This window comes from Homo sapiens, chromosome 12, assembly GCF_000001405.40.
Source record: "Homo sapiens chromosome 12, GRCh38.p14 Primary Assembly".
NCBI classification, from domain to species: Eukaryota; Metazoa; Chordata; class Mammalia; order Primates; family Hominidae; genus Homo; species Homo sapiens.
The window spans coordinates 14,311,239-14,324,963 of record NC_000012.12 but is presented as its reverse complement, the minus strand read 5'-3'; the positions used below and the strand labels follow the sequence as shown (position 1 = coordinate 14,324,963).

Here is a 13,725-nt window from a genome sequence, read left to right as displayed (position 1 = left end):
AATAAATAAGTTTATTGCAGCACTATTCACAATCGCTAAGATATGGAATCAACCTAAGTGTCCATCAACAGATGAATGGATAAAGAAAATGTGCTGTATACTTACACAATTAAATACTATTTACTGATAAAATTAAAAAGATTGATTCTGACATTCATGGCAATGTGGATGAGCTTGGAGGACATTGTTTTAAGTGAAATAAGCTAGGCACAGAAACATAAATACTGCATGTTCTCACTCATGTGTGGAAGCTAACAGAGTTGATCTCATAGGAGCAGAGAGTAGAATAGTGGCTACTAGAGCCTGGAAAGGGTAGTGAGGAGGGAGAAAAGCCAGGGGTTGGTTAACAAATACAAAAGCACAGCTAGAGAGAAGGAATACGTTCATAAATAAACATTATAAAGTGCATTTCTATAATCCCAGTACTTTGGGAGGCCATGGCAGGAGCATCACTTGAGCCCAGGAGTTTGAGACCAGCCTGGGCAACATAGTGAGACTTTGTCTCTACAGAAAATAAACCAAATTAGCCAGGCATGATGGCACAGGCCTGTTTCAGCTATTTGGGAGGCTGAGGTGGATTGCTGGAGCCTGGGAGTTCGAGTGAGCCACTGCACTCCAGCCTGGGTAACAGAGTGAGACCCTGCCTCCAAATAAATAAATAAATTTCACTTATAACTCTGCAGTTGAATGGCAACTTTGGTGAATGGGAAATAGGACGGAGTATAGCATGAAAGGGAAAAGTCATTCATTTGATAAACATTTGTTCAGTACCTACTAAGTACAAAGCACTCTTTTGAAAACTTGAGATCCGATGCTAAATAGTCCTATTTCCTTACCTGGAAGAACTTATAGTCTAGCAAAAAGTAATATTATGTTCAAACTTCAGTGCTCAACTTTGAAATGAAATGGGTTTTTTGTTTGTTTGTTTTTTGAGACATCTGGTTCTGTCACCCAGGCTGGAGTGCAGTGGCGTGATCTCGGCTCACTGCAAGCTCCGCCTCCCGGGTTCACTCCATTCTCCTGCCTCAGCCTCCTGAGTAGCTGGAATTACAGGCATGCACCACCAAGCCTGGCTAATTTTTGTATTTTCAGTAGAGACGGGGTTTCACCATGTTGGCCAGGCTGGTCTCAAACTCCTGACCTCAAGTGATCTGCCTGCCTCGGCCTCTCAAAGTGCTCGGATTACGGACATGAGCCACCATGCCTGGCCAAGAAAATAGACTTTTTAAAGATATTTAGTTATTTTTTATTTTTCTGGCACCTAACCAAATAGTTAACTGAAGAATGGGAGTGTTAGCAAAAGAGGCCTTCAATCATTATCCCTTAAAGTCATTATCCAAAGAAAAGGAAGGTAAAATGAAATAAAGAAAAGTTTCTAGCTGGTATGAAACCATTAATATTAGGACAACCTCCAGGCTTTGAGCTTAAAATAAAGATTATGTTTCATATTTTATCACAGTTCAGCTGTATCAAATATAAAGAAAGTTTTGTATATATGGGTATTCATTTTCTTTCTTTCTTTTTTTTTTTCTGAGATGGAGTCTAGCTCTGTCGCCCAGGCTGGAGTGCAGTGGCGTGATCTCGGCTCACTGCAGCCTCCGCCTCCTGGGTTCAAGCGATTTTCCTGCCTCAGCCTCCTGAGTAGCGGAGACTACAGACGTGCGCCACCACGCCTCGGCCTCCCAAAGTGCTGGGATTACAGGTGTGAGCCACTGCTCTCGGCCATTTTATTTACTAAACTTCACCTATATCAAATATATGTCAATGTGTGTAAAAAAAAAAAAGTCTATCGTCAGATACTAGAGAGAAGTGAAATGCTAGATTACAGCTGATGCATAGTTTGCACCCTAACTTAGTGGAATGCGGCCAGCCACAGGGGAAGCGTAGAGTGCAAGATGTCTGTACGTCGTACATTACAAGTTCTTCTGTTTAGCTCTGTCTGGCCACGACTCTGTCTTAAAACTGCTTAATGTGAATTTTCCATAGGCTTTGTGCAAACACACAAACACACACAATGATATAAGCCAAACTCTCCGTCCTCACAACATTTTGTGCAAAGTCTGCAACAGCTTCTCTAGGTGGGAATTCTGGTAACAATGTAGTTCTTTCCTTGTCTCTATGATGTAAACTGTGAAGACCTTTCCTTTTAGCTTCTTCCTTCATACTACCTTCTTATGTTTTTGGTTTTGTTTTTTGCTATATTTTCTGTAATATTTATTAGAAACTCAACATATCTTTTAAACTGTGCTATTATTAGCATTTTTGATACTGCTTTTGTTAAAATATTGCATAAGGTTTGAATAGTTTTAGTGCACAATTTTGCAAGATTAAACATTCTTCAAGAATGTGTATATCTAGTTACAGCAGTCATCCAACTATTTACAGTATTAGTGAGGCAGTAAGGAAAAATCCAGAGCTTCCTGCACCACTCTACATATCTTTGAAGAGTTCCACAAATCCAGTTCTATCTGCACTCAAATGAATACCTTTCCCCCACATGCAAATCATCTTGTTAATGTCAATTAGGACTGAAATATAATATCACTACCATATGCAACTAAGAAATGCCCTAATGAGTAGGACCTGCAATCTACTGATGGTCAGAAATGCAAATTTCTAAGCAGCGATAAGGAGGTTCCTGAACAAAAGTTAGTTATCTCTTACTATTGTGATATAATCACACCTGAAAGGAAGAGAAATTTTAGCAAGAATTGCTCATGTGTTGAACTAGAGTGAATCTGGAGAACAAAAATTCAGTGGGCTCCTAATATTATTTCATAAAAAGATGCTGCTGTGGTTTGACTGTGCCCCCTCCAAAATTCAGGTGTTGCCAATGCGACCTTATTAAGAGGTGAGGGCTTTAAGGGGGGATAAGGTCATTAGGGTTCTGCTCTCATTAAGGGGATTAAGGATGTTATAAAAAAGGCTTCATGCAGCTTTGAGTTCTCTTGCCCTTCCTTCTACTTTGTACCATAGAAGAACACAGCATCCCTCCCTTTCGGAGCCTGTAAGCCCTCACCAGACAACTGAACCTGCCAGTGCCTTGATCTTAGACTTCCTGGCCTCCAGAATTGAGAAATTTCTTTTCTTTATAAATTGCCCAGTCTCTGCTATTCTGTTGCAGCAAATGAAACTGTCCCTAAGACAATGGGATTCTCTTTAACTTGTCCTCTTAATATAGAATATGACATATTCATTTAGCTTGTTCTTTAGCTTTCCTGCCATGTGAGGACACAGTTTCAGGTTTATTGTTGCTGTGTTTTTTGTTTGTTTTTTGAGACAGGGTCTCAGGCTGTAGTATAGGAATGTAATCATAGCTCACCGCAGCCTCGACCTCCTGGGCTCAAGTGATCCTTCTGCCTCAGTCTCCTTAGGAGCTGGGACAACAGGCATGTGCCACCAGGTGCAGCTAATTTTTAAATTGTTTGTAGAGGCGTGTCCGGAATTAGTGGGTACTTGGTCTCACTGACTTCAAGAATGAAGCCGCGGACCCTCGCACTGAGTGTTACAGTTCTTAAAGGTGGCGTGTCCGGAGTTTCTTCCTTCTGGTGGGTTCGTGGTCTCGCTGGCTCAGGAGTGAAGCTGCAGACCTTCACGGTGAGTGTTACAGCTCTTAAGGCAGCGCGTCTGGATTTGATCGTTCCTCCCGGTGGGCTGGTGGTCTCACTGGCTTCAGGAGTGAAGCTGCAGACCTTCGCGGTGAGTGTTACAGCTCTTAAGGAAGCGCGTCTGGATTTGTTCGTTCCTCCCGGTGGGCTCGTGGTCTCGCTGGCTTCAGGAGTGAAGCTGCAGACCTTTGCGGTGAGTGTTACAGCTCATAAAAGCAGTGTGGACCCAAAGAGTGAGCAGTAGCAAGATTTATTGCAAAGAGCAAAAGAACAAACCTTCCACAGTGTGAAAGAGTACCCCCAGCAGGTTACCATTGCTGGTTGGGGCAGCCTGCTTTTATTCTCTTATCTGGCCCCACCCAAATCCTGCTGATTGGTAGAGTGAATGGTCTGTTTTGACAGGGCGCTGATTGGTGCCTTTACAATCCCTGAGCTAGACACAAAGGTTCTCCACATCCCCACCAGATTAGCTAGATACAGAGTGTGCACACAAAGGTTCTCCAAGGCCCCACCAGAGTAGCTAGATGCAGACTGTGGACTGGTGCATTCACAAACCCTGAGCTAGACACAGGGTGCTGATTGGTGTGTTTACAAACCTTGAGCTAGATACAGAGTGCCAATTGGTGTATTTACAATCCCTGAGCTAGACATAAAGGTTCCCCAAGGCCCCACCAGAGTAGCTAGATACAGAGTGTTGGTTGGTGCATTCATAAACCCTGAGCTAGACACAGGGTGCTGATTGGTGTATTTACAATCCCTGAGCTAGACATAAAGGTTCTCCACGTCCCCAACAGACTCAGGAGCCCAGCTGGCTTCACCCAGTGGATCCCGCAATGGGGCTGCAGGTGGAGCTGCCTTCCAGTCCCCTGCCGTGCACCCACACTCCTCAGCCCTTGGGTGGTCGATGGGACTGGGCGCCCTGGAGCGGGGGGCGGCGGTCATCGGGGAGGCTCGGGCTGCCCAGGAGCCCACGGAGGGGGTGGGAGGCTCAGGCATGGCGGGCTGCAGGTCCCGAGCCCTGCCCCGCGAGAAGGCAGCTAAGGCCCAGCGAGAAATCGAGCGCAGCACCGGTGGGCTGGCACTGCTGGGGGACCCAGTACACCCTCCGCAGCCGCTGGCCCGGGTGCCAAGCCCCTCATTGCCCGGGCCGGCAGGGCCTACCGGCTGCTCCGAGTGGGGGCCCACCAAGCCCACGCCCAGCCGGAACTCCAGCTGGCCCACAAGCGCCACGCGCAGCCCGGGGTTCCCGCTCGTGCCTCTCCCTCCACACCTCCCTGCAAGCTAAGGGAGCCGGCTCCGGCCTTGGCCAGCCCAGAAAGGGACTCCCACAGTGCAGCGGTGGGCTGAAGGGCTCCTCAAGTGCTGCCAAAGTGGGAGCCCAGGCAGAGGAGGCGCCCAGAGCGAGCCAGGGCTGTGAGGACTGCCAGCACGCTGTCACCTCTCAGAGATGGCGTCTTGCTATGTTGCCCAGGCTGGTCTCAAACGCCTGGCCTCAAGTGATCCTCTTGCCTCAGCCTCCTGAAGTGCTGAGATTACAGGTGTGAGCCACCATACCCGGCCACAATCTAAGCTATTTTATTGTAGTAGCACAAACAGACTGAGACAACATACGAAAGGCTGTAAGAGCTTTGTCAGATTTCTTATGCTATGTAACTGGACCATATTTGTGGTTTTACTCATCCTATCTGTTGTTTAGAAATGGCAGTAAAACCCTTGCTATATTCCGTTTATTGAGGCTTTCCAGTTTCCCTGGTACTCTGCTAGGTACTTTAAATATATTGCATCTTTTTTTTTTTTTTTTTTTTTTGAGATGGAGTCTGGCACTGTCGCCTGGGCTGGAGTGCAGTGACGCAATCTTGGCTCACTGCAACCTCCACCTCCCAGGTTCAAGGGATTCTCCTGCCTCAGCCTCCTGAGTAGCTGGGATTACAGGCATCCGCCACCATGCCCAGCTAATTTTTTGTATTTTTAGTAGAGACGGGGTTTCACTATGTTGGCCAGGCTGGTCTCGAATGCCTGACCTTGTGATCCACCCGCCTCAGCCTCCCAAAGTGCTGAGATTACAGGCGTGAGCTACTGCGCCCGGCTGCATCATATAATCTTTATAATTTTCATAGGTAGGCATAATCTTCAAAGTTGAAGAAGTTAAATATCAGAAAGATTAAGTGACAATCACAGAGCTAGCAGGTGGTAGGAACAAGATTTAAATACTTGACTTGATATGGCCTAATTCTTTCAAAACAACAGAGATTCTCCAATCATGGAGTGAAAAAGAACTACTGGAAAGAGAGAGAGAATGAACACTAAGGTCCTATCCTAGATCTACTGAATCTAAATCTCTCTACTCACTGGCCAGTCTTCATGTTTCAAACTCCACAGTCCAAATTACAGAGGAAGCAAGAGTATTTGTCTTAGATGTTTACGATCACCCCTACAAGTAATCTCCTAGGTTGTAAGCTAGGTTCTTGTAAATCATGTACCTACCATGATCTAATCAGTGACACCGTAATGCATTTCAGAGCAATTTCCCTGAGCAAGGCTTAAAATAAAGAAGGACAGTGGATGTGGCAGTTAGTATGACTTTTTTTTCCAATATATTTCCTTTCTTGGGTGTAACTCTCTATAATTCCAAAAATGATCTAGTATCATATGAAAGACTACAATATATTCACTACCTCCTTAACAAGCATGAACAATTAGTCTGTCCAAAAATAGCATTAAGAGATGTGAGGACAGATACAGTGGCTCATGCCTGTAATCCTAGCTACTCGGGAGGCTGAGGCAGGGAGAATTGCTTGAACCAGGGAGGTGGAGGTTGCAGTGAGCCAAGATCACACCACTGCACTCCAGCCTGGATGACAAAGCAATACTCCACCTCAAAAATAAATAAATACACACACACACACACACACACACACACGCACACGCACGCACATATATATATATAATTTCCTAGGTTATATATATATATAATTCTTTATTCTTTATTATTCTTTATTCTAGGTTCTATATATATATATATATATATTATTCTTTATTTATTCTTTGCCATTATTTAGTCTTTGGACTAAATTCTAAAGATATATATATATTAGGAGAAAAAAATGCCCCCATATATTCATTTCCTAATCTCCAGAACCTGAAAATACTACTTTATATTGCAAAAGAGTGAATATTACCTTGTATGGCAGAATATCTGATTAAGTTAAGGATCTTCAGAGGAAGCATTTATCCTGGATTATTGGATTATTATGTCCTTGATTATTCTCCTAAATACAATTACATATATCCTTAAAACAGAGAAGCAGGGGAAGATTAGAAAGACGCACACAGAGGAGGAGGCAATATGAAGGCGGAGGCCCAGATCAGAGAGATGTGGCTGTGAGCCAAGGAATGCCAAGAAATGCCAGATAGCTCCCAGAAGAAGCTAAAAGAGGCCAGATATCAATTCTCTCTCAGTGGCTCTGGAGGGAGCATGGCCCTGCTGACACGTTGATTTTTACACTTCCAGTCTCCAGAACTGTGAGAGACAGATGTGTATGTTGTTTTGGTAATTTGTTATGGCAGCCACTCTAAACTAATACAAGGGGTAATTTAAAGTTGTTTTTTCTCTTTGGTTCAAAATATCTAGGTATTTTATATCAGCCCTCTAGTTCCTTTGGGGACCTATATCCAGGTTTTATTATATTTTATTTTTTGAGACAGAGTCTTCCTCTGTCACCCAGGCTGGAGTGCAGTGGCGTGATCTCAGCTTACTGCTACCTATGGCTCCAGGGCACAAGTGATCCTCCTACCTCAGCCTCACAAATAGTTGGGACTATAGGCATGTGCCAGCATGCCCAGCTAATTTTTGTATTTTTTTGTAGAGATGAAGTTTCTCTATGTTGCCCAGGCTGATCCTGAACTCAAGTGATCTGCCTGCCTCAGCCTCCCAAAGTGCTGGGATTATAGGCATGAGCCACTGTGCCCAGCCCCAGGTTTTATTCTTTGCCATTATTTAGTCTTTGGACTAAATTCTAAAGACAAAAAACAGAGATACTTCCTATTGATCAGTGATTTACAAATATTGGTGGCATAAGAATATCCAAGGAGACTCATCATTAGTGGAGAATCCTGGGGCCCCACTACAGACTGTGGGGTAGCAACTAAATTTTGACAAGTAGCTCAGATAGATCCTTTTGATGGCCCTTAGACTGATCACATTTTGAAAAAGTGATTTAAAATAGTGGAAGAAATATGAAATATTAGTGTATTAAGTAGAACTAGACTGAGCTGTGACAGAAAATCTACAATAATACTGACTTTAAAAATATATCAGTTTATTTTCTCACACATAAAAAAATAGAGGGAGCCAATCCAGGGCTGGGACACCCCATCATAAGAGATTCAGGCTCCCACTAAATTGTTGCTCGTTTCTTCCGTCTTGCTGCTATTCCATCCTCAGCATGAACCTTTCACCCCATGGGTCCCAGATGGCTGTTTGAGTGCCAGTCCTTACATCCACATTTGTCATGTGGGAAATTACTTTGACTCAATAGTAGCCCCTAAGTATACTACCATGCAAGCTATCACAGAAGTCATCGTACAAAAAGCCATGCAGATTAAGTAAAGATGCCTGAATTATGTGGTTTATTGAATCAATTTAAAACGCAGACTGAGGCCAGGTATGGTGGCTCACGCCTGTAATCCCAGTACTTTGGGAGGCCAAGACGGGCAGATCACTTGAGGTCAGGAGTTTGAGACCAGCCTGGCCAACATGGCAAAACCCCGTCTCTACTAAAAGAAATAACAAAATTAGCTGGGTGTGGTGGCGTATGCCTGCAATCCCAGCTACTCAGGAGGCTGAGGCATGAGAATTGCTTGAACCTGGGAGGCAGAGATTGCAGTGAGCTGAGACAGTGCCACTGCACTCCAGCCTGGTCAACAGAGTGGGTGACTCTGTCTTAAAAAAATAAATAAAATAAAATAAAATAAAGACTGGGCCAGGCGTGGTGGCTGACTCCTGTAATCCTAGCACTTTGAGAGGCCAAGGCAGGCAGATCACTTGAGGCCAGGAGTTCAAGACCAGCCTGGCCAACCTGGTGAAACCCCATCTCTACTAAAAATTCAAAAATTAGCCAGGCATAGTGCCACATGCATGTAGTCCCAGCTACCAGGGAGGCTGAGGCAGGAGAATCACTTGAACCCATAAGGCGAAGGTGGCAGTGAGCCAAGGTCGAGCCACAGCACTGCAACCTGGATGACAGAGCAACACTTTGTCTCAAAAACAAAAACAAAAACAAAACAACAACAACAAAAAAACAGACTGAGCAACAAGGATAAAGGAATGAGATAACAGGTAAACATACTTAGGATAGGATACAGGTGGGGCAAAAAGACCACATAATGTGAATCATGGGTTTCCAAATGTGTACAGGTCCTATCTTTGTTTCTGCTACATCAGTCTTCCCTTTGAAGGTATGCTCATGAGGAGCAGAATTGGGATTTGGACAAGGGAGCCTAGCAGACAGAGAGTGCCTGGAACCAACTCACTCATTTGCTCTATAAGCAAAAGGCAAGGAGGGCAAGTATGCCTGACTACAACTGTAGCTCCCTAATTAACCTGCTAAACAGCTGTGGGTGTCATCTGTGTTTTTAGGGTAGAGCACAGATGAGACCAGAATGACACCATAATGAGTATCACTAATGAGTAGTTGTGTTTGTTTCCCATTTCTGTGTAACAAATTACCACAATTTTAGCAGCTTAAAGCAATACCCATTTACTAGCTCATAGTTATATAGGTTAGACATTGGGCACTGCATGACTGGTTTCTCTGCTCAAAGTATCACTAGGCTGAAGTCAAGGTTCAACTGGACTGAGTTCTTGTCTAAGGAAAATCCTAAGGAAAGATTCACCTCCAAGCTCATTCTTCTTCTTGGCAAAATTCATTTCCTTGCACAGGCTGACAGGCTGAAGTGTATTTGTATTTTTAGTAGAGATGGGGTTTCGTCATGTTGGCCAGGCTGGTCTCAAACTCCTGACTTCAAGTGATCCACCCGCTTTCTCCTCTCAAAGTGCTGGGAGCAGGCCTGAGCCACTGCGCCCAGCCAAGTTTCACCTGTATCTTATAAGCTAGTAGTTTACCTGATATGTAGGCTTAATACTTCATATGAGTTTCAAATATCTCACTTGTTTGTCCTAGCTTCTATGGACCAATTGAATACTCTCAAAATATACAGTGAACATACATTATGACTTTTCAGTCAGCAAGGAAAAGGAGGAAGTGAAAATGGTTTGTTCCTCCCCCAGCATCCCTCACCCTTTAAGGATTTTCACAAACAACACTTCTGCTTATACTCCACTGGTCAGAACTTAGTCACATGGCCATACATGGCTTAAAGAGAGATAAGGAAGAGCAATCTTTATTTCGAGTAGTCATGTGCCAAGAGAAAAATCGGATGTTCTGGCCAGGCGTGGTGGCTCACACCTGTAATCCAGCACTTTGGGAGGCTGAGGTGGGCGGATCGCTTGAGCCCAGGAGTTCGAGACCAGCCTGGGCAACATGGTGAAACCCATCTCTACAAAAAATACAAATTAGCCAGGCATGGTGGCGCCCCCACCTGTAGTCTCAATTACTCTGGAGGCTGAGATGGGAGGATTGCATGAACCTGGGAGGGGGAGGCTGCAGTGAGCCAAGATCTTGCCATTGCATTCCAGCCTGGGTGACGGAGTGAGATTCTTTCTAAAAAAGAAAAAAACTGATGTTCTGTTACAGAAGAAGAAGGGGGAAAAAGAAGTGACAGAGGACAATTAGTAATTTTCACAATTACCAAAAAACAAAATTAGCAATAATAATAACTTTGACATAGAGACTATGGCTAAAGCCCTCATGTCTGAAACTGGTTGTGAGGCGGTAGCTAGTATTTATGACTTATCTTTCTTTTTACCTGGACTGTGTTCTTTGCCGTCCAGCAACACTTAAGCTTGTATGATACTGCTCCTCTTCCTTCTCCTCTCTTACCTCCTCACCCCACCCTGAGCAGAGTGACTTGTACCTTCAATTCTGAGGGTGATGAATTATTTGTGATACTTCCAATAGGTCTCAGGTACTCTGGCACCATTAGATAGTAGTAAAAGGAGGTGACCCCAGGTGTTCCCTAGGATTCTTGCTGTATTCTTCATTTCCCCTATGTAATCAAGATCTATAATACAGCTAAAGTCGTCACATCCTTTTTGCGTCTTGCTCTGATGGCATATGGAGCCTGAAATGGCTAGGTGGCAGTTTCTACTTCAAATTTATTTCCGCTATTATCACATTCCACCTTTCTCTTGGGTACTGAGAATTGAGAGCTGAAAAGCCTGTGGTTACAAGTTGAGGAGACAAAAATTCTGAAAACAGATTATTACATGCAATCATGAGCAGTGCCCCTCCCAAGTACACTGCTAGTTTCCTGGAATCTTATTCCTTACTATGGGAGGGAAAGTATCATTGTTGGTCACTGGTTCAGAACATATATCACATTCTGCAAGACAGCTGTAACTTTGCAAAATGAGGTTCCCAATCTTATAGTCTGGTTGAATTTTCAATAAAATGTTCCAGTTTCTTATATGGCTGACTTGTAAGCACAAAAAAAGCATAATAACAAGAAATACTGTGGACTTCAGCTTCATTTCTTATACTATGAAGAATGGTCTAAGGCAATGTCTGAGTGGTGTATAACGCATTCAGTAAATTCATACATGATGACACTATAACCATGAAAGCAAATACACAACCAGAGGGAGTCTAAGTAAAGGCAAAACAGTGACAAATACATGTCAAGGGGAGCCAGTGAAACTGGCTGACCTGCAATCAGATGCATGACTTCCCTGTAAACTATGGATGGACTTTCTGTTCATTAGTCAGCGTGCTTTGCCAATTTAAACTTCAGCAGGTCAGGCCTGGTGGCTCACGCCTGTAATCCGAGCACTTTGAGAGGCCAAGGCGGGCGAACCACAAGGTCAGGAGTTCGAGACCAGCCTGGTCAATATGGTGAAACCATGTCTCTACTAAAAATACAAAAATTAGCTGGGCATGGCAGTGGGCGCCTGTAGTCCCAGCTAATCGGGAGGCTGAGGCAGGAGAATTGCTTGAATCTGAGAGGCGGAGGTTGCAGCGAGCTGAGATCATGCCACTGCACTCCAGCCTGGGCGACACAGTGAGACTCTGTCTCAAAAAACAAACAAACAAACAAACAAACAAACAAACTTTAGCAATGCTAGCAGACAAGTTAGCCTTAGTGAAGTGAATACTGGGTGATAAACTCCAGGTGATAAGCCTCCTTCACTACCAGGTTGCTACTTTGAGCAAGAACCAGGCCAAGGATTATTGACAACCACAATGTAGATCATACCATCCAACTAATTAGTCAGACATCATGTTTTAAGCAGGGACTATGTGAAACTTCAGGTTGAGTTCAGAATCTGATTGGGACAAAGGTGCAACAAATTCATATTAGAGTTCCAACTATTATATGATATCTTAAGGACCTTATTCTGGCTAATGAAAATAGTGGTGTCCTGGGTCCTACAGAATTTGCATGTTAGATTGTAGTCAGTATCAATAAGTCCACAAAAATTTTGTTATTTTATTTCTCCCAGCGTGTGATATTATATAATCTTTTCTGTGGGGTTCCCCATCTCTCATTCATTCAAATATTCCACATTTATAAAGGCATTTACGTCAGAGAACTAAGAGCCTGCCATTCCATTGTGGTGGTTTAAGAACTCTTCATTAGGCTCAGTGTTTTCTGAAATACATATTAAACAACACCTTGATAAGCTGGTTCAATTTTTTCTTGCAAATTCCATTGTCCCAAAGCTAAAACCATTGATATCTGGAGTAAGGCATCCTCTGGCAGGATTCAGATTACTCTGCTTAATTATCTGCTGCTTTTTCTTTTAACCTCTGTAACTCCTATGCCTGGATCACTCACTACACCCATTTTATTTCCTTAAATAGTTGCCACTTAAGGCCGGGTGCAGTGGCTCACGCGTGTAATCCCAGCACTTAGGGAAGCCAAGGCAGGCAGATCACGAGGTCAGGAGATCGAGACCATCCTGGCTAACATGGTGAAACCCCATCTCTACTAAAAAACAAAAAATTATGTTGTGGTGGTAGGAGCCTGTAGTCCCAGCTACTGGGGAGACTGAGGCAGGAGAATGGTGTGAACCCGGGAGGCAGAGCTTGCAGTGAGCCAAGGTCGCACCACTGCACTCCAGCCTGGGAGACAGAGCGAGAATCCATCTCAAAAAAAAAAAAAAAAAAAAAAAAAAAAAAAAAAAAAAAACATAGTTGCCACTTGGGCCAGGCCAACCTCAAATCTTCCTAATACAATAGTTACAATAGTTAACAATAATCCGGCCGGGGCACGGTGGCTTACGCCTGTAATCCCAGCACTTTGGGAGGCCAAGGCGGGCGGATCACTTGAGGTCAGAAGTTTGAGACCAGACTGGCCAACATGATGAAACCCTGTCTCTACTAAAAATACAAAAATTAGCCAGGCATGGTGGCGCGGCCTGTAATCCCAGCTACTTGGGAGGCTGAGGCAGGAGAATCGCTTGAAAACAGGAGGCAGAGGTTGTAGTGAGCTGAGATTGCGCCACTCTACTCCGGCCTGGGTGACAGAGCCAGACTCCAAAAAATAAAATTTAAAAAAAGTACAATTAGGGCCGGGAGCGGTGGCTCACACTTGTAATCTTAGCACTCTGGGAGGCTGAGGTAGGAGGATCACCTGAGTTCAGGAGTTTGAGAGCAGCCTGGCCAACATGGCAAAACCCCATCTCCTGGGTTCAAGTGATTTTCCTGCCTCAGCCTCCTGAGTAGCTGGGATTACCGGCACCTGCCGCCATGCCCAGCTAATTTTGGTATTTTCAGTAGAGATGGGGTTTCATCATGTTGGGCAGGATGATCTGGAACTCCTGACCTCAGGTGATCCACCCGCCTGGGCCTCCCAAAGTGCTGGGATTACAGGCATGAGCCACCGCGCCCGGAATTTAATTTATTTTTTATGCTAGAATTTTGCTGAGGATTTTTGCATCACTATTCATTTGTGATATTTGGCTAGTTTCCTTTCTTTTTCTTCTTTTCTTTCTTTC

General features: G+C 44.1%; 2 annotated features.

Annotated features, from left to right (window-relative positions):
* Positions 1,185-1,685: an enhancer, noted in NCBI's record as "NANOG-H3K4me1 hESC enhancer chr12:14476213-14476713 (GRCh37/hg19 assembly coordinates)". NCBI's record gives its function as "activates a minimal SCP1, AML or CMV promoter by ChIP-STARR-seq in primed H9 embryonic stem cells {active_cell/tissue: H9 hESC(primed)}" and the evidence as "EXISTENCE:reporter gene assay evidence [ECO:0000049][PMID:30033119]".
* Positions 1,686-2,186: an enhancer, noted in NCBI's record as "NANOG-H3K4me1 hESC enhancer chr12:14475712-14476212 (GRCh37/hg19 assembly coordinates)". NCBI's record gives its function as "activates a minimal SCP1, AML or CMV promoter by ChIP-STARR-seq in primed H9 embryonic stem cells {active_cell/tissue: H9 hESC(primed)}" and the evidence as "EXISTENCE:reporter gene assay evidence [ECO:0000049][PMID:30033119]".